At 44.0% G+C, this 18,640-nt stretch overlaps 2 long non-coding RNA genes across 6 annotated transcripts in view; both read right to left on the bottom strand.

Annotated features, from left to right (window-relative positions):
* The window catches only part of NCAL1 (NK cell activity associated lncRNA 1), a 282,375-nt gene that overhangs the window by 211,803 nt on the left and 51,932 nt on the right, over nucleotides 1–18,640 (bottom strand). The window lies entirely within an intron of this gene.
* Nucleotides 4,533–18,640, bottom strand: part of CYTOR (cytoskeleton regulator RNA) — a 66,092-nt gene continuing 51,984 nt past the window's right edge. For all 5 annotated transcript variants that reach the window (NR_024205.3, NR_024204.2, NR_146461.1 and 2 more), the window contains one exon: nucleotides 4,533–4,844. This is a non-coding gene — a long non-coding RNA (cytoskeleton regulator RNA). The remainder of the gene's footprint in view (nucleotides 4,845–18,640) is intronic.

The raw sequence follows: 18,640 nt of genomic DNA, 5'->3' as shown, positions 1-18,640 counted from the left end.
AGAAGAACAGACTTCCTCCAAGTTCCAAGAAAACCCAAAAGAGACACGAAATAAGGCTCACAAGCTTTTGGGAAGAAATTGGTGGTCTCAAGGAAGCAACATAAGTTCTCTAAGAGAAAGTCACTCCATGCTAACCTCATTTCCTGTTTTGACGAGCTTCACCAGAACAGTCGATTAGGGGAATGCCCCAGAAAGTGTGTCTTGATTTCAGTAAAGCCTTTGAAAACCTCTCACCCTATCCGATCTAAGATACAAAAGATGGGCCAGATGATGGTGTGACCAGGAGGACTTGCAATTGGCAGGACACTCATCTCCAAAGAAGGCCACCTCCTAGCTCATGGAAGTCCTGCTTGCCTTTGCTCCCTTTGCAGCTGCTGCAGACAGCCAGGCTGCTCCTGAGTCCCTAGTTGGACAGACAATTCCGTGCTTTCTGCCCACAGGCAAGTGTGGTTTGAAATGACTCTCTGCAGCTCTACCCATGAGAAGGTTGGGGACCCAAAAGTGAGGATGTCAGCCTAGCGTGGTTGGTTCTGCACAGGGGACATCCTTTGAAGTGACACAGGACTTTCTTCATGGAGAGCCATGGGACTCTGTCCTGCGTTCTGTCCCATTCACCATTTAAAAAACACCTTGGAGGTTGGGTGCGGTGGCTCACGCCTATAATCCTAGCACTTTGGGAGGCTGAGGCGGGTGGATCACGAGGTCAAGAGATCAAGACCATCCTGGCCAACATGGTGAAACCCACCTTGGAAAGAGACATGGTAAATGAAGGCATATTTACCAAATTTGCAGATCACACAAAGCTCTGAGGAAGAAAGGGCCCCCAAAAATTTAGGCACAAGGTTAGAAACCTGGGATGGAACCAAAGGGAACAAATGTGAAGCTCTAGTGTCTATTAAAAACACAGTCCACTGTAGGATTAAACATCTATGTCAATTTGCTTCAAGTTGTGCCACTAAGTACTTGAGTGTGGCCAGGGATGAGAGAACAAAACCTATACTTTTCAATGCCTTCAGCAATATTAAGCTCTGTCTTAGGGTGTTAGACAGGCTCTAAAAAGCCCTCCCTTCCTTATCTTATGGCCTTGTTAGGAGGACAAAATAAGTCATAGGTGGTAAAGTGCTTTGAAAAAGGGAAAGCTCTGAAATTCAAAATAGTATTATTATTTGTTGTAAGGTGCTTTCCCTCCAACAAAAAAAAGAAAATCTGGCAGTCTATGAGTGATAAGCAGAAAGTGATTCAGCTTTGGTTCTAATTCTCCATCTCTAACCCCAACGAGTGGAGTTTGCTGGGTCACCTGACTAAATCCGTGACCTCCGAAAGGTGGCACTTCTAGCGCTCTGCTTTTCCAAAAGTCTCATAAATTCTTGGATTACACTAATTAAACAATAATTTAGAAAGCTCCTTTCTAGGACTGGGTCTTCAACGATGCAAACTGAGTAAACCAGCAGAATGAACACCAAAAGACTGAGGTCTGGGCCTTAGATTTTTACAGATACAATCATGCATTGCTAATGAGAGGGATACAGTCTGAGAAATGCATCGTTAGGCAATTTCTTTGTGATGCGAATATCACAGGGTATACTTACACAATCCTAGATGGCATAGCCTACTACCTGCCTAGGCTATATGGTATGGCCTATTGCTTCTAGGCTACACACTTGTACGGCATTTCAGTGCACTAAATACTGTAGGCAATTGTAACACAACGGTAAGAATATGTGCATCTAAACATGTCTTCACACAGAAAAGATAATGCATTGTGCTACAACATTATGACAGTTGCAACATCACTAGGTGATAGGAATTTTTCAGCTCCATTATAATCTTATGGGACCACTATTGTATATGCAGTCCATTGTTGACTGAGACATTAGTGAGTGCATAACTGTATTTTCAATGCTTTTCAATCCTACAGTGCAGTGCTTTGAAAGTTTGTCACCCTTGCTGCTGCACAAGCCCTGGCTTGAAACATAGATGAAAAATATACAGCAAACCCAAGACAGGAGGGCTTGTTAGTGAAGTTAACAGACAGAATTACCTTAAAGTCCCTTCAGGATCAGCAGGATTTCACTCGGCAGTTATAGGACTCCAGGTTCCCCTGGACCACACTAGCCAGTAGAACTTCCTGTGACCGTAGACATGTTCTGTACCTGCACAGTCCAATATGGCAGCCACAAGTCACATGTGGATATTTAAATTTAAAATAAAAAGGAATTTAAAAATTCAGTCCCTTGGTTGTACAAGCCACATTTTAAAGGTTCCATAGATATCTGTGGCTAACAGCTACCACATTGGATGGTACGTTGAGAGACCAATGTTTCTCAGTCTTGGCTATGCATTGAAATTACCTGCAGAGTTGTAAAAAATACTGATGTCTACACCCCCTCAATCCCCAGATTCTGATGTGATTGGTCCAAGTGGATCCTGGGTGTCTGGATTTTTTATAACCTCTGGGTAATTCTAATGTCTGGCCAGGGTCAGAACTATTGCCTTAACCATCTAGAATTGTGTGGTCACTTCTCTTTTGCTCTTTCTCCTAATATCCTTGTGAACTAACTATCCTGCAGGCATCATATGGGTTACGTCTGGTCCTCCCTGCACCTGTGACTTCCATCTTTTTGAGGTCATAAATAATCCTGGGGGTAAGACTGCGAAATGGGTAGAGAATGTGGTTTCATCCTGCTCAAAAACGCAGAGGAAGAGTGATCACTTGGGTGGAGATGTTCTTCCCAGTGGAGCCCCTTGCACCTGGGCAAGGGGTGTGTCCAGAGGGGCCGGAGTTAGGTGAGTGTGAGCAACCCCTGGGGCAGGTTGCCAGCCCACAGTTGGGCCTGGCTCCTCACATCCTCAGGAGGACTGTCCCTGATGCCCATGTTACCCTTGTACACGGCCCTTGCACATGTTACCCTTGTATACTTCCTTCTCTTCTGCTAGAACCTAGCCAGGTAGAACCAGCAGAAACTCAGGGCAGGGTGGAATCTTTGTGTTCATCTCATCTGATCTTCTTAGTGTTCTGCTGGAGAAAGTAGCATCCAGAGACGCCCAGCTGAGGCTATTTCCCTCCACAACACAGTGGTCTTTATCTTCCAGGATGGGGGCAAATTACATAAACTTTAGGAAGTTCATCAGCAGGGCAAAGCTTGGTTTCTGATGAGAACCTGACTGTCCAGACAGTAGAGAGTTCACAATCACCCTTTTCTGCTGGGTGATGTCCCAGAGGAAAGCCTGGGTCCTCACCCTAGTGAGGCCATTCACCAGACTCAGATCAGTTTCCTTATCCACCAAACATGGTCAGAGCACTGGGCTGCTCAGCATCTCGGTGTGCCTGAGAAGTAATAAGAGGATGAACCCAGTCAGCACATAGTTGTTGATGAGGCTCGGATCTCAAACGCTGGGGACAGACCGGGAAATAAGACAGACCACAGTCTGCCTTTTGGGAGTGGAGTGAGAGACAGACAGATGATAATTGAACATTCAGGATAAGTGCTGATAATGATAAGTCTATGAATAAAATAAAATAAAATCACAAGATAGAGAGAAATGGTGGGGAGGAAGGAGGGTTCTCTCACGACATGGTGCTCAGGGAATTCTCCTTGAGAAAGGGACATTGGGTTGAGACCTGGATATGCATTGCAATGAACACTGTGCATGTACATAGGGGGTTTTGTGATCACCATCATGGCCTATTGGTAAACTAATTCCAACAAGTACAAAAGAGTAAACATGGCCATTTAAAATTATTCTTAGATGTTTGCTAAGCTTAAAAGTGAAGATTGCCAGAAAGTTCTGGAAGGCTTCTACTAATGGCCTGTCTGGCCATGTCCTCAGGAGGGGGTCAAATTGTCCTGCTTGAGGTTGGGGAAGAGAGTGGGATTACACAGCAGGAATGCTTCGACATTTCACCGTTTTATAGACTGTTCAGGTGCCAGTCCCAGAGTGTCAGAGTTCAAGAAAGCATTTAGGAAATCGGGGCATCTAAGTGAAATGGGATGGAGCCATCGACCATGATGAACTGTGCACTGCACCCAACACTTCTTCAGCAGAGCCCACTCAGACTTGGCTAGAGGTGCTGGGTGGGGACCGGGGCTGAGTTGGTCCCATCCACTGTTTTGTCTCCAGAACCAGCACACAGCAGGCCCCTAAGAAATCCTTATGGGATGAATAAGTGAAGCAGTAAAGGATGTGTGAGGGGAGGGAGGCAGCAGAGATGGCAGATGTCTCTAGTGGAAAGCCCAAGGTTAATGGAGATCTTGGGGCCACAGTTTACAGGCCACGATCAGGGTGGGTGTGGAAAGAGGCTTCCAGATGAAGCCCGACGTTTCTCTCAAATGTCAGTCTGCCCACACTGACTCTACAGCAATCTGGAGAGGTATGAGAAGCAGCAAGGCAAGCGTGGCTGAGTTATGAGAGAGTCAAGCCCAACACACATTTAAACATGTCAGATGAGCTGTGTGGACGTGCCAGGGTTCCCTCAAACACTATTCGATATCCTTTCAAACAGCGTTTAAAGATAGCTAATAAGCAAACAATTCTGTTTTCTTTAGTTTTGCTTTTAATGAAGGACAAGGGATTAAGACACATAGAGACTGGCCAGACAAATGGGAAACCGACCAGACCAGCCCATGACCAAAATATCACAGGCAGACCACCCGCAAATGCAGAGGCCTCAGAGTCCACAGTGGGCGGTTGGAACCAGGCCCCAGGGAATCTTTCAGCTGCATTCCGGCTGTGATCGGCGGGCAACAGGTAGAGGTGCTGGAGGGGGCTGAGTCGTGATTTTCGGTGTCTGTCATATTCGATCAAGTGTGTCATAGAGCTTCCTGTTTCATCTCCCAGTTATTCTGAAACAAAAACATGCATGAAAAACACAGGTCACTGCCAACCACACTGACAGTCGCTCTAGTACATGGAAACTGAAAAGGGAAAGACATATCATGAATGCCACAATAAGCCAGAGAATCAAATTTATCAGCATCTATTCAAATATTGGCAAGCAACAAACATTGCTGGCGGCAATGGTGGTGCGGGACATGGGGTGTCCACATAAACAGAATTCAGAAGAGACTGAAAAGGCAGATGTTCCCAAAAGCCTGCTGCTTTGTTTGGGGCCAGCCTGTGTGTTTATTGAAAAGTTGATTCAGTTCTGACTTCCTGGTCAGGGTCTGACTCCTGATGGGCCCTGAGGCTCTTCCCCTACATGCCCCTGTTGACTTGGATGAAGAGTCACACAAGGACTTACAGGATGGCACAGGTGTTCGCCCAGGTGGTGCCCTGCACTCCCCTCTCCAAAGGCCCAAAGAGACCCAATGAGAGATCCCTGTGGAATTCCAGCCCAATGAGGTCCTGAGCCTCCCCGGGAGACATGGCCTCCCAGGTACATCAAATAATCACAATACACCTGGGCCTAGCAGCCTCGGTGAGGTAGAGGGAAGGGTGGATAAGAAGTGGGGCCCCTGACCAAGCAAAGGCCCTGAGGACAGCACAGGACTGACAGCAGCTCCAGAAAGACTGTGATTCTGTTAATAACTGCTCTGCCGCTTGAGACCAGCATGGTCTGGCTCACTGTTTGCAGAAAATCATTCTCAGTCTCCCAAACAAGTGAAAGGATACTTCCAAAGACAGACAGAGGGACGGTAGAATCAGAAATACAGATGGCACCATCTTCCCAAAGTCCATACTGTAGCCCCACAAAACCAACTTCATGCTTAAATCTGCTGCTCAGACACACTTTGGGGAGAAAGCAGTTTTTCCAGGAGCGAGCTGGAGACAGCACTTCCATGGGAGGGAGGTCAAATCCAAGACTACCCGCTATTTCCAGCCATATTCACTATGGATGAAGAAGGGATGGCTCTACCCATGACCGTGCAAAGCTTCCTTGGGAACCCTGCTGTCCCTTCCACATGCAACCTGTCCAAGATGCAACCCTCAGTTCACCATGAAAACCCACTGGCCCTGCCGCTCCCCATTTCCTTTGGTTAATATTAGGCACAAATTTTTCTGTAAAATGAGATGAAGGCATGTGATTTTGGAAAAGCTTCATCCTTCCTCTTGAGATTCATTCACAAGATACAGTAGCACACAAAATACCCAGAGAAGTTAAGAAATAAGAAAGCTGTTTAAATTATTGTGCACTTCCCAAACATATATGGGGCATAACATTTTTTGCACAATGACCTTTGCTGGCAGGGCTCTGCTGAGTGGTGTTAGGAAATGTGGCCAAAGGCAGGCTGCCCAGCCTGCAGGGCCTGGCGGAGCTCTCCTCCTCCTAGGGTCTCTTGCAGTGCTGCAGGCCAGGGAATAAAGCTTCTCCTGACCCCGTAGCCCTGGCTGCCAGGACATGTGGTGATTATGACAGTCTCTATTTATCTTTTGAAACTCTGTATTGTTTCCCCCCCACCCCCAGTATCTTTCCCAATGTCTTGTACAAGTGAGTTAACGGATCCATATAAACTCCTACAGTCTTATCTGTTTTTTCCTTAAAGGCCTCATTGGCTAGTGACAGTGAAAAATCGAGCTTCCTGAGCCTTGGCGAACCTGGCCCCATGATTCCTACACATTCTGGGAAGAACACTGCCCAGATGAATCTGTTGGGAAAGCCAGCTTCCCGTTTTGAGTCCTATGAGCTAGCATTTTCTAATGTGGCTTAAAGTCCAGCATCTGGGCCCAGGATTTCATACGCAGTGTCTTCCTGGGTGGGCAAAGAGAAACAGGAACTAAGTAATGCATCAGTGGCCTGTAGGGGTGGAAGGGGAAACCTGGTTTCTTTAGTTTCATCACTGAAATAGAGAGGTGGTTTACCAACCCGTGCCCCTCACCAGTTACCCCCACTTTTGAGTGCAATGAAAAACCAAAATGTAATAGCCCAGGAGGGCTACAGTATGGAACACCCAACCATGTGGACCTTGGGCCAAAGTCACAGAGTGAGAGGTGGCCGGCCCTTACGGATCATCCAACCAACCCTTCACCTTGCAGGTGAAGAAAGCAAGGCTCACCGAAAAAGGAAGTTGGCAACCTTCCCAAGGTCACTCTGGATGGGACACAGCTGGGACCAGGACCTGGGTCTCTCCTACCTCTCCTACCTTTGGCTTCTGGCCAAAGCTGAGAAGACCCTGAATTCCAGTTCTCCACTGAAAGGCCTTGTCTGGGAGGTTTTGCATGGATGAATCAACTCCATGTTGGCCTGGCTGTCTAGTTATCACTGAATAAACCCACGACAGTTCATCTGAGAACTAAAAGTTTTGCCCCTAATTCAGGGCCGATCACACACATGGCTTCCTAGACGCCAGCGTACACTGGGAGTGGGTGGAGACCACCAGCGCCACTCCGGTGTTGAGGCAACCCTGAAGAAGCGTCTAGTCACAGACAGGGCCACTCTTACTCTTTGGCTTGGCTGACCTGCTGTTCCTGCAGGTGTCTAATATTGATGAGCCGCCAGGTAGGTCTCCCCACTGTGGGTACACAACCTCACTTCCCCCCAGATCTGAGAGATGGCCTCAGGGTCACACACATCACCCTGAATAGAAGCCCTCATCAGGGGCCCCAAATGCAGCTCAGGCAACCTTCGGGAAGCTCCCCAGCTAGCTCCCAAATCGTGCTCTTTCTGTTCCCGATAACAGACAGAAGGCTGCTGGCATGGTAAACTGACAAAGGGAGAGAAGCAGTGGCACAGATGCATACCCCCAGTCCCACCCCCAAGGCAGGCTGTTTTGCCCCTGAAGTTGAACCATCCAAGCCTCTACTTTCTGCGCAGTAAGTCTCAAGGTAGGAGGAAGTGAAGACCACGAGCTTCGATTTGCTGTGACATCCAAGGAACTGCCAGTACCTCACTGCTGAGAGCCCAAGCCAGAGCTTCCAGCCAGCCTCATGCAAAAACACACTTGAGCTTCCTCTGCCCCATTGGCAGCACCGAGGTCTTCCTCAATGCATAGAAAAGGGACGAGTGAGGAACTCACAGCCTGTCCATTCTTGACTCACATCAGATTCTAACAGTATAGGAAGCCAACTTTTTGAGATTTCAAAAGAATTGCCAAGGAGGATGGAGCCTGCTCAGTAACTACCAAACTGTTCAGCTCTCAAGAGACCACTGTTTTTATTTTTCAGAATATTAAAACCTAGACCGCACACTCAGGAAATGTATATTGCTTATCACAGACTAATTTTAGGGAGATATGAGATGGGTTCTTTGTATAAATCAGACTCGTGTGCTGCTAGAGCTGTCAGGGCAGGGGAGCCAGGCAGCAGCACTTGAGTCCCCCTGCCCTTGTCTCTGACAGAGGCTCCCGCGTCTAGAGCTTCAGCCACGTATCTCTGAGCAGACTTAGCACCTTTTCAAGGGGACCCCCGCTGAGAAGCAGTTTCTGCAAAGTGCTCCACACGTCATTACAGACCTACACTTGGTCAGGAAGATTCTGTGTCTTTGAGTGGGGACTTTCAATACCCTCGTCAGCAGAGTGTGACAGTCCCAGGACACACACCCGGGTCTCCTGGCCACCAGTTACCAAGCATGTACCACAGGCCAGCTACAGCTCCCCAGCCAAGCTTTCCTTCAAACATCTCCCCAGCCCTCTCAGGTTGGTGCTATTGGTATCATCTCTCTCACTTAGGAAGGACCGGAGCTCAAGGGAGTTCAACAAATAGCAGGGAAATAGAGGCACACAGCCTTCCATGCAGCAAACTGATGGTGAGGCTCTGCTGCCTGCCAGGATACTCAGCAGCTCCTTCAAACATCTGACCCCCTGAGGTCTTCCAGGCTCTCTCACTTTTGGTTACAGAGAGTGTCCTGAGCAGCACAAAGTCAGACATAGCCAGGTCCACGCACATTTGTGTCTTTCCACAGGGTCAGACTTTTACTGATGCTATTTCAATCACAAAAGCCACAAGTTACATGGAGTTCCCAAGGAAGTGATTCTCCTTAGTACGTCCTGTTCAACTGGTAGTCAGAGCTGTGAGCACTCAGGCTCAAGCCACTCTGCAAGTCAGTCAATATTGCAAACCATACACAGCAGTGTCCTTAACTTAATCAATATATAAATGCTATATTAAACATTCCACATGGAACAGTAACATTTAACATCGAGAGAAAGGGGATAACAGAGCATAAGTGTGGCTTTGAAAAAAAAAGAGTGAGAAGGGGATAGAAGAAAGGGTTAATGAGCCAATCCAATGAGAGCAACGTGGATGAGAGTGTCCTGGCCTGTTCCGGACAGACATCAAGAGTCTCTGATGTGGGCAGAGTCTTTGGCAGCAGATGCCAGGTGCTGATCACGAGCAACAACAGAGCAAGGCTCTGTTAAGACGACCATCTCAAGCCGGTGAAATCCTGCTCTTCTTATAGCCCTGAGACCTCTGGCAAGGACTGATAGTAGAAGAGGGCTGGTGATGTCCCTGTCTGGTTGGGTGTGGTCTTTATTGATTAGGTGGCCATCTGTTCCCTGTTGGCATGATGCCTTTTGACATGTAAGATGGAGTCTTTTTCTAAGATGGTGTCACTTACGTCAAGAGTGCTCTATATAGGGAAGAACCTATGACAGCTCCCTTAGTTTATAATAAAGGCGGAAATTGTCAAGGGGCAGCAACCCAAGGGTTGGCCCTTGGTAGATTGTTTCCTAGTCTAGTGATACCATACACTACAGCTTGACCCTTTCACTATCTGTAAAATACAACCCATTTTTCAGAGAACCAAACCTCAAAAACATTTTAGCCATTTTATAGTCTGATGGACATGGTAAAAGGCCAAGATGACAGGTAACCTTGCTGTGCAGTTACTGAGAAATGCAAAAGGCCTTCTGAGAGGCTGGTGTGGATTTTAAGTCTGTGGTAGGACACACAAAGGGACATTAGGAAAAAAGTGGAGACAACTTGCAGACTCCAGTAGACACGGTTTTTAGGCATTTCCAGCACCCTGGCTCTAGGCTGCAGTTCTCAATGGGAGTCTCAGCACTGGCAGCATCTCATTACCTGAGAGTTGTTAGAAATGCAAATTCTCCGGCCTCACCTCACATATTCTAAGAAGGAAACCCTGGGGCTGGGGCCTAGGAATGTGTGTTTCACAGTGCCCAGGTGATTCAGATACACACAACCACCAGTGGCAAGTGATATCTGCTCCTAGTGACACTCTTGTATGCAGGGCCATGGGTGACTGCAGGTTGGCTATGCGGCTGGCTACTGATGTTCACACTTAGTCAACTGTACCCAAGCTACTTGCCGGACGCTCTCTCCTGAGATCCCGACTGGGGGCGGAAAGAGCAAGCAGCTCAGAAGCCATCCAGAATTTTCAACTCATTTTTGGGGTGACCTGGGGAGAAATGTTGGCATGCTTCATCCCTTAATCTTCTTTTCCAGATGTTGCTCATCTGCACAGCGTGGGACTGAGCACTGTGGGATATTCAATCTGCACCAGTGTTCTCTCCCTAAACATCAAATGTCTCTTCTAGCCATGCTCCACCCCTGCTCCTATCCCCCTTGCCTTCCATCCTTCAGCTCATTTTGCCTGCACAGAACACGACAGCCATGAATTCTGCTGCATCTCTCTCAAATAGGAGAACAGAAGTGTTTTCACCAGCTCAACCCTCCTCACTGCAACCCTATGCAAAACACCACATCCCCCACTCCCACTTTCAGGCTCTGCTCACACCGACCTCTGTGCCCAGGTAGAGAGCACCAGCAAAAGGCTCACAACAACACAGGTAGGAGGCACTAGACAACCAGGCCTCCCAAAAAAGTTGAAAAAAAAAATAGTTTGTTTATCATTTTAAAAAAACTAACCTCATACAGGAAGTATGAGAAGCAGAAGAAGAAGAAGAAAAAAACCCAGGCTAAAATACTGGAAATGTCCACATTTGTTACAGATAAAATATGTGTTTCTCAGTTTCCATATTCAACTTTGCAGGGACGGTGGGAACAGGTAGGGTAGGGCACTGCGGTGGGGTGGGGACTTAGGATGGATGGGGATCAAATAAAAAAGGTGACTGTGAGTACATGAGGCACAGGCTTGCCAGATGTGGGGCAGGACCACGACCCCAATCAGGGCCCTCTCTGCAGGTGTGGCTGTCCCAGCCAGACTTGGAGAAGGGGATGCCTAAAACAGAAACTGTTATCCGAGATCCTCCTACTCACCTGCCTCTCTGGCCCCAGGTCCTGCCCTCGTGTGTGTTTCAGGTGAAGAAGCCAGAGTTACAAAATCATGATCACCTCCCTCCAATAGCCCTTCCAGACCTGCAGCCCCAGCAGCAGTCAGCTATGGAGACACCGCCACCCAGGCCTTCCTTGGAAGCCTGAGGCCGTGCAGACCTTCAGGACAGCAAGCCCAAACGGGCGGACTTGCTTTGGTGTGATGGACACAGACACGAGGCCACTGGAGGCAGACAGGAGTCAGATCTGATGCCTGACATGGAGCCAGGTGCCCTCGGGGAAATGTGGCTCAACTGGATTTTTTTAAATGGGGCTGGAGGACTCACAACCTCCACATGAGGATTAGAGTGGAGAAAAACAGTGAGAATAAAGAGTATGTCCTCTTTCATAGAACCAATCAGTAGGAGAGAAGGAAATAGGAATTCTCCCTTCTCATAATAAAAAAATAAATGCAAACACTGTATAACGTGCACACATTAAAAAGATATCAACTGAAGGATTTTAAGTCATTGCGATTGGTGTCAAAGAAAGCAATTGGTATGAGAGAATGAACGAACGAAAGAAAGAGAGAAAAAAAGAGAAAAACTGTACACCAAAATCTCAAAATAGAACCAAAACCTGCAAATCATACTCAGGAGTCTATTGTGAACCCATATTTCAGCATGCTTTTGAAAAGGTTAATAATTTTCCTACCGAAACTGAATGTGGGTTGTGAAAGAACATTAAAATGAAGAAAATTTCCCCGTGGCTGCTATTATATTATCACCAAAGCCATCAAGTTTCAGTTTGAGTTATTTGTATTTATTTGTGAAAACAAAGATTAGATAAGTAGAAACATAAACCTCATCCTAATTATTGTCCTGGAGGATCTGATTTTTAAGACCAAAAAAATAAGACCATCACACACACAGAGGCAACACAAGGTATGAGAAGTTACAACAGCAGAGGCAAGGGAGAGGAGGCTGTTATCTCGTTCTATCATTTGAAAAAAATGTATTGTCTCATGTAAAACATTAATAGTTGCTTACAGTCTGCGAAGATAATATGAGAGTCAATATGTACTTTTAGCTGTTGACATTTTTGTCAACTATATACCCAGGTGGAGAACTTTTCTTTTAAACTGCAAACTAGAATTTTTGTTTTACACTTGCAAAAGTGTAGTAAAAGCCATACAATTCAATGTTGAACATTGGGGTGGTGGGGGAAATGGAATTTAAATGCTGCTTTAAACGATCAAAACAAGAGTTTTGGGACATTTACAACCAAGTGGGGTCTAGAGAAAACACAATGTTTAGGTGCAGAGCTGGCTCTTATTTCAAATTTGTCTCAGATGCCCAGGGGGCAGCTTGTTTTCTGAAGTTTTAAAAGAAATCCAAAGATGAAATAGTTAATCAGAAACAATGGGTAAGCAGAGACTTCATGTATTTCCATCACAACATAAGCATCAGAATGAAAAAAAAAAAAAAAAAACATGCAAAAAAGAGCTTCAGTGGTCTCACATCACCGAACAAACTGTTTTTCTACCTATTTTGTGTTGCTGGCTTTTGTTATCAGCCCAATCGGCAAATTGTGGCCAATTTTGTCATGGTTTGAGCAGACATTTTGTTCCCAAACTGCTTTCAACATTTTAGCTACCAAATACAGTTTATGAGAAAATGAACAAGCCACAATACAAACAGAAAAGGTACCTTTTCTTACCAAATTAACCCCCTTTAAGCTTAAAATGCAAAAGTTTTTTTTTAATGCAAAAAAAAAAAAGGAATTCTAGTAAATTCAAATTCTGAAACAACCTCATCAGTTTTTTCCTGGAAAAAGAATAATTAATGATTAACCTACTGATGGATTTTGAAACCAACTACACGACATTCCCTGATTCCGACCACCATGACACCATGAAACTAGTTTTTAATGACACAGTATGTAAATGCTATTTTGCAAAAACACACACCAAATATTGTTTGAAGATGCAGATCACGAGGCTCAAGGAGAACAGTAGAACTATGTTAAAGTAAAGTAATCGGTTAAGCAGTTATTTACTACTGAAAATAAGTGACACCCACGTAGTTCATGTTATATATTAATATTGAAACCAAATGACAGTCTAATACCGCAAATCATTTCATAAAAAAAGAATGAAACTAGTTAAAATTAAAACACAGGGTTTTATTTTATAAAGCATTAAATATTCAGATCAAAACGGTAGAAAGCTGACTTGGCTTTTAAAATATTTGTTTTGCTGAATTTCAACAACAGATTGAAAATGAAAAAAAAAAGAATGAAAGATCTCTCCGTAAAAATTTAAGAATCACTACTGAGAAGAAAAGCAGAATTTCAGACAGAGGCTTGAAGAAAACTTCTGTTTGTAATCTTCCCTCATATTTGAAGACACAGCAATATGTACAACATTTTTAGCCTTTTAAAATACCAGCATGCCCACACACTGTCTCAGATTAAAACAAGGAGAAAATGACACATTCTGAAACCATTTTCTAAAGCTTCTTTTCCTGATAACAGTGAGGTGCTTACAATCAAATTAATGAGTTTCTAAAAAGCCCAAACAACTCTCCATAAAGAAACAGAATTGTTCATAACAGCATGCAGATATTTCTAGATTTTTCAGACAACACTTTGAGCATTAGTTCTTGCTACTTACTTTGGAAGATGTTTTTAAACATCTATATTAGAAAGAAATACTACTCAGTGCTTTGCTTTGTTAAATTGAGGAACACTCTGAAAAACACCAGTAGAGTCAGCCCAGTATTTCCCTCATTTCAATTTAAAAATTAGTTAACTCTTCCCCACACTCCTTGCACACATATGTATTCTCACAATTTATTTATACTTGAAAATTCTTAAAGTAGTGAAGAAAGGAAACACCCACAGAAAATAAGTCATCATTTCTTCTGAAAGTGGATTTCTTCATAAAACATAAACCAGCAAATAAACAGTGAAAAGAACTAAAAGCAAATAACAAAACTCAGTAAGAACACTGAAAAATACATATTGACTGATAGAAAAGTTAGCACAGGACATTTTAAATCATTGAGAAGAATAGGGACATTTGTGGTCAGTTTAAAAGATTCTCAGTGAAAGGTTGGCATTGCTTCTGGGCAAGCTGAACTGATGAGAGCACCAAGGTAATAACATCTTCCATTCAAGATAATGTGTTATGTTGTTTAACACCGTATCTAAAACATGTGACTCAGAATTCTTACTTCACTTTTTTATATTTCAATTTTTTCAGTATTATAGGATTCTTCTGGTACTTTAAAGCAAGTAGCCTGATTTATATAAGACAACAGCATTTAAAAACAGACAAAACAGCCTTGAAAAAAAAACACGACGATTAAAGATGACAGTGGATAAGGAGACCGTGGTAATCACCTAATTTGTTACTTTCAGACATTTTCTGTATGAGAATTTTACTCTGCAATACCTGCCCCTATCTTCATGCAGCATAACTGAATGTTCACATTCAGAAAAAGCCTGACCTTAACTAGTACTTGCCACTCTTTTAAACCACATATCCTCTTCCCCCGATGTAAGACTTGGGAAATGAGGGTGATTTTAGTCATCTGGAAAGAGTGAAACAGGACATGGTCTTGAAGCACTTTCTTCAGAACCGTTGTCATTTTAACTTTGTTTTACCACAACAGAAAAGGCCGTGCCCACGGAACAAATTCAAGTTCACCCTCAATTGTATCTGTAACTCTGGAATTTCTTAAAAGCAGACTGGCACAGCACAAAAGCTTTCCTTAAATAGTCAAAGCCTTAAGAAAAAAAATCCCACTTTTCTTTTGCAAGTATATGAATTAAAATGTGAACTCTTATATATTAAAAATGAATGTTTTTAGCACAATTACTTCACAGGCAACCAGCTAATTTTTTCTTCCTCTTTTTCACAATATGCATTTGTTAAAACACCAAGATTTTTTTTTAAACTCTGTTACGTTTACAGGCATTCCTAAGTGTAAGCAAAATATACTTTTCCTCCCATTTACCATTTTATTTGAAGCCAATCTGTCATGTATAAAATGATGACAATTTTGTTAAAGCAATCTGGCTTTAGAGGTTAGGGCTAGCTCAACTGTAGATTTAGAAAATCGAGCTTTTTCTCTTTTAAAAGCAATGAATAATTTACCAAAATCTAGAAATAACTGCAACTGGAGGGGGGAAAGTCAGACAAGAATGAAAGAAGCCAAGGAACTCAGAATTCTTGCCCCGGAAATGAGGGTCTCTTGCACTTCATTTTCTGTTTTCCACTAAATAAATAAATAAATAAATAAAAATTGATTTCTAGTTATAAAATTAAATGTGTAACAAGTTTAAGAAATTTACAATATGTTAGATACAAATATATATAAGTGAGCTTAGAAAGGTAAATTGCATTTCTTAGAGCATAAATCCAGCCCCCTGTGCTAATGCTATTGTGAGTTGACAAGACAGATACAGACACTGGATCTACACCACTGAAAACAGGATGATTTTGGTTGTAAACTTGGATTAGTGCGAAACCATTCTCTTCTGACAGGGTCTGTCGGCACAATTGAAAGGCATAGTCGACACCGGTGGACCATGGAGAGTGGAATGGATTTCTGATAGTCACCTAAAACCTTTCATTGATGTTGGCTTGAAAGCTGCTTAATTAGCTGTAGGCTGCCAACCAATCTCCTTATCAAAGCCAGCTGAAAACAAAACTGAGAGAAACAGCTTGTGGTTTCGCAAAAATGTATTTACATGAAGTATATTTTAAAGGGAGTTTGATCATTAGGTACGATGTCATCTGTGATGTGCGGTGGGTTTGACATTTAAAGATGTCACAGGTTGTCAGATTCATCTCCAGTCTATACTTAGTTGAGATGTAACAACTTCTGCTAGCAGATCTTGTTCTGTTGATTTCCAGCCTAGAAATCTGAAAAGATTTAACTCTTTTTTTTTTTTTTTTTGAGACGGAGTCTCACTCTGTCGCCCAGGCTGGAGTGCAATAGCGCGATCTCGGCTCACCGCAACCTCTGCCTCCCAGGTTCAAGCAATTCTCCTGTCTCAGCCTCCTGAGTAGCTGGGATTACAGGCATCCACCACCACGCCCGGCTAATTTTTGTATTTTTTAGTAGAGACGGGGTCTCACCACGTTGGCTAGGGTGGTCTCGCACTCCTGACCTCAGGTGATCCGCCCGCCTCGGCCTCCCAAAGTGCTGGGATTACAGGCTTGAGCCACCACCCCTGGCTGAAAAGATTTAACTGTTATTTACTTCATACCAATCCTTCTCATGTCCTCTCACCTCCTTACCCATGATCTATTAAAAAGGAAGTGAAGTGGTGGGTGACACGTGGAACATAAGCCTATTTTTGTACCTAGTCCCAAGGATGGTGACAGAGGCAAAAATACCGCCGTGAACACAGGCCAGGCAGAGAGAGTTGCCGATAGGTGTGTGCTTCCTAAAATCAAGAAGGATCCACATCTTTCTAGCCCGTTATTTCACTGCGATTTGTATTGAAAAGAACATTCTGACAAGACGGGATTTCCTTCAGTTAACACTTAAAAATTGTCGAAACCAAGGAAAACCCAGAGTGAAAGCAAACGTTCTACCTCGTCGAAAGCTATCTTGATAGAAGTCATACCAAAGCAGCAGCAAAAGATCCCAGATAAATGTCGACCTTCAGGTATCCTCAACCAGGAACATGGTTCGGTAGTTTTGTCAGTGTGTTTAGCCATCAAGATTTAATGCTTTATATTTTATCAAGAGATGGAGACATGAATCACTACCATTTAACTGTTACAAGAATGACGTCTGGTGAATGTTTAGTCATCCATTCACTCTTTTCCAAATGTCACTTTCTGTCTTGCCTAATTCGTTGGAAATGAAAATTAAGCTCTAAAAGAGAAATTAAGACAAACCAGAACAGACCCAAGTGAAATCAGCACTCTGTCGCCGATAACACCCCTGAACCACAGAACCTCAGCAACAGGACCGCACAGATCTCTCAAACAGAAAGGGAAATGGTCAGTAAAATTACAGGAAAAAAAAGGTTCATTCAACTTTGAAACTTTGTTACTTATGACCCTTCTTTCACCTTAATTCATATGGCAGAGGTCAAGGGGTATTAGTCCCAGGATATGAATGCAGTGTGATGTGCAGTTAGCAACATAGTTTTTAAAGGGTAATAGAAAAAAAAGTTTTATAAAACTGCGCTACTCATCAATTATTTTCCATAGTTTGCTTTAAAAAGGCCTTCTTCCCAAACCCAATTATTCCATTGTGAATCATCTTGTTTGAAAAAGAACTGTGGCATGAAATCTGTCAATATAGGTTGCCATTCAAGCCCAGGAGAACCAGGCAAAAGGAAGTCCCCAACCAGGGTTCTGACAGCAGTTAGAAAAGGTAGAAGGCCAGGGGCTCAGGGAACAAGCAGGGGACAGTAATGACTGTGGCCTATCACCTGTTCTGTATCTGTCTCCTTAGCAGGAAATAGCAACTTTGATTATTTTATAAATTCAAAGGCAACCAGACTTCATTTATTAGGAGCTCTCTTCTACTTGGCTGAGCTGTGGCCTTCATTTGAGGCGTTACAAAAAGCAGTGCATGAATACCAGGAAAGCTGGTCTGCAATGAGGAGTGGAATGAAGGGCTTCACTCTCCCCCAAAGCACCAGGGAGCTCTGCTTTTGGGTCCTCCATGCCGAGACAACCCATTCTGCCAGCTCCTTTGAACACTAGACTGAGGTTCTAGCCCAGTACACCGAAGTCCCAGGGACAGCTGATCAGCAAATTGGCATTATGGATCAGTTTCGAGGAGGACAAATAAAGAAAGAGTTACAGTAAAGCACAAAAGCGTGTCTGATGGAGCTAATCCAGAATGGGCAATGTTAGACTGCACAGTAAAATGTGAACTCCTCCATTTCAGCAAATCAAAGGGACTTCCCACATTGTCAAGGTCTCCTTCCCACCTGCCTCTGGCCCCAGGTGCAGACGAGAAGCCAGAGAGGCAATGTGGTGTGCCCCACATGCCCCTCCCTTCATCACTGGGTTTGTTGTTGATACTGTTCCCACTGCGTTTATTCGGTGACTCTGCCTGCAAAGCTTCCTTTCTGCTGCTGCCTGTTGCTAGGGAATGAACCCTAATCACTGCGAGAGAACAACAGCAACAGCAATCTTCACTTGGCACGAGCAAGCACAAATGTCTCAGTTTAGTGACAATGTAGAAATCATCCCTAAAAGCATCCTCATTTACATCTTCCCTCAGAAGGATGGCAACATTTGCCCTGTCATGAAATACATATTCTCTTCATCATAATGTCGGAGATGGTGCATTTGGAGTGGATCCTATTTCCATATTGAATTTCTGCCCTTTGTCATCAAGCTGGGTGTCCAGGGTGACTTCGGGCTCTTAGAATAGCTTGGCTGTGGATCTCACCTAGTTGTCAGCCTCTATTTAATTGTTTTTTTTTTCTTGGAGTAAAAAAGCAAACCGCATCGTCAAAGCATTTAAAAACACAAACCAAAGGA

Source organism: Homo sapiens, chromosome 2, assembly GCF_000001405.40.
Source record: "Homo sapiens chromosome 2, GRCh38.p14 Primary Assembly".
Lineage (NCBI taxonomy): Eukaryota > Metazoa > Chordata > Mammalia > Primates > Hominidae > Homo > Homo sapiens.
Note: the sequence above shows the minus strand (reverse complement) of the source record. Positions and strands in the feature narration are given on the sequence as shown.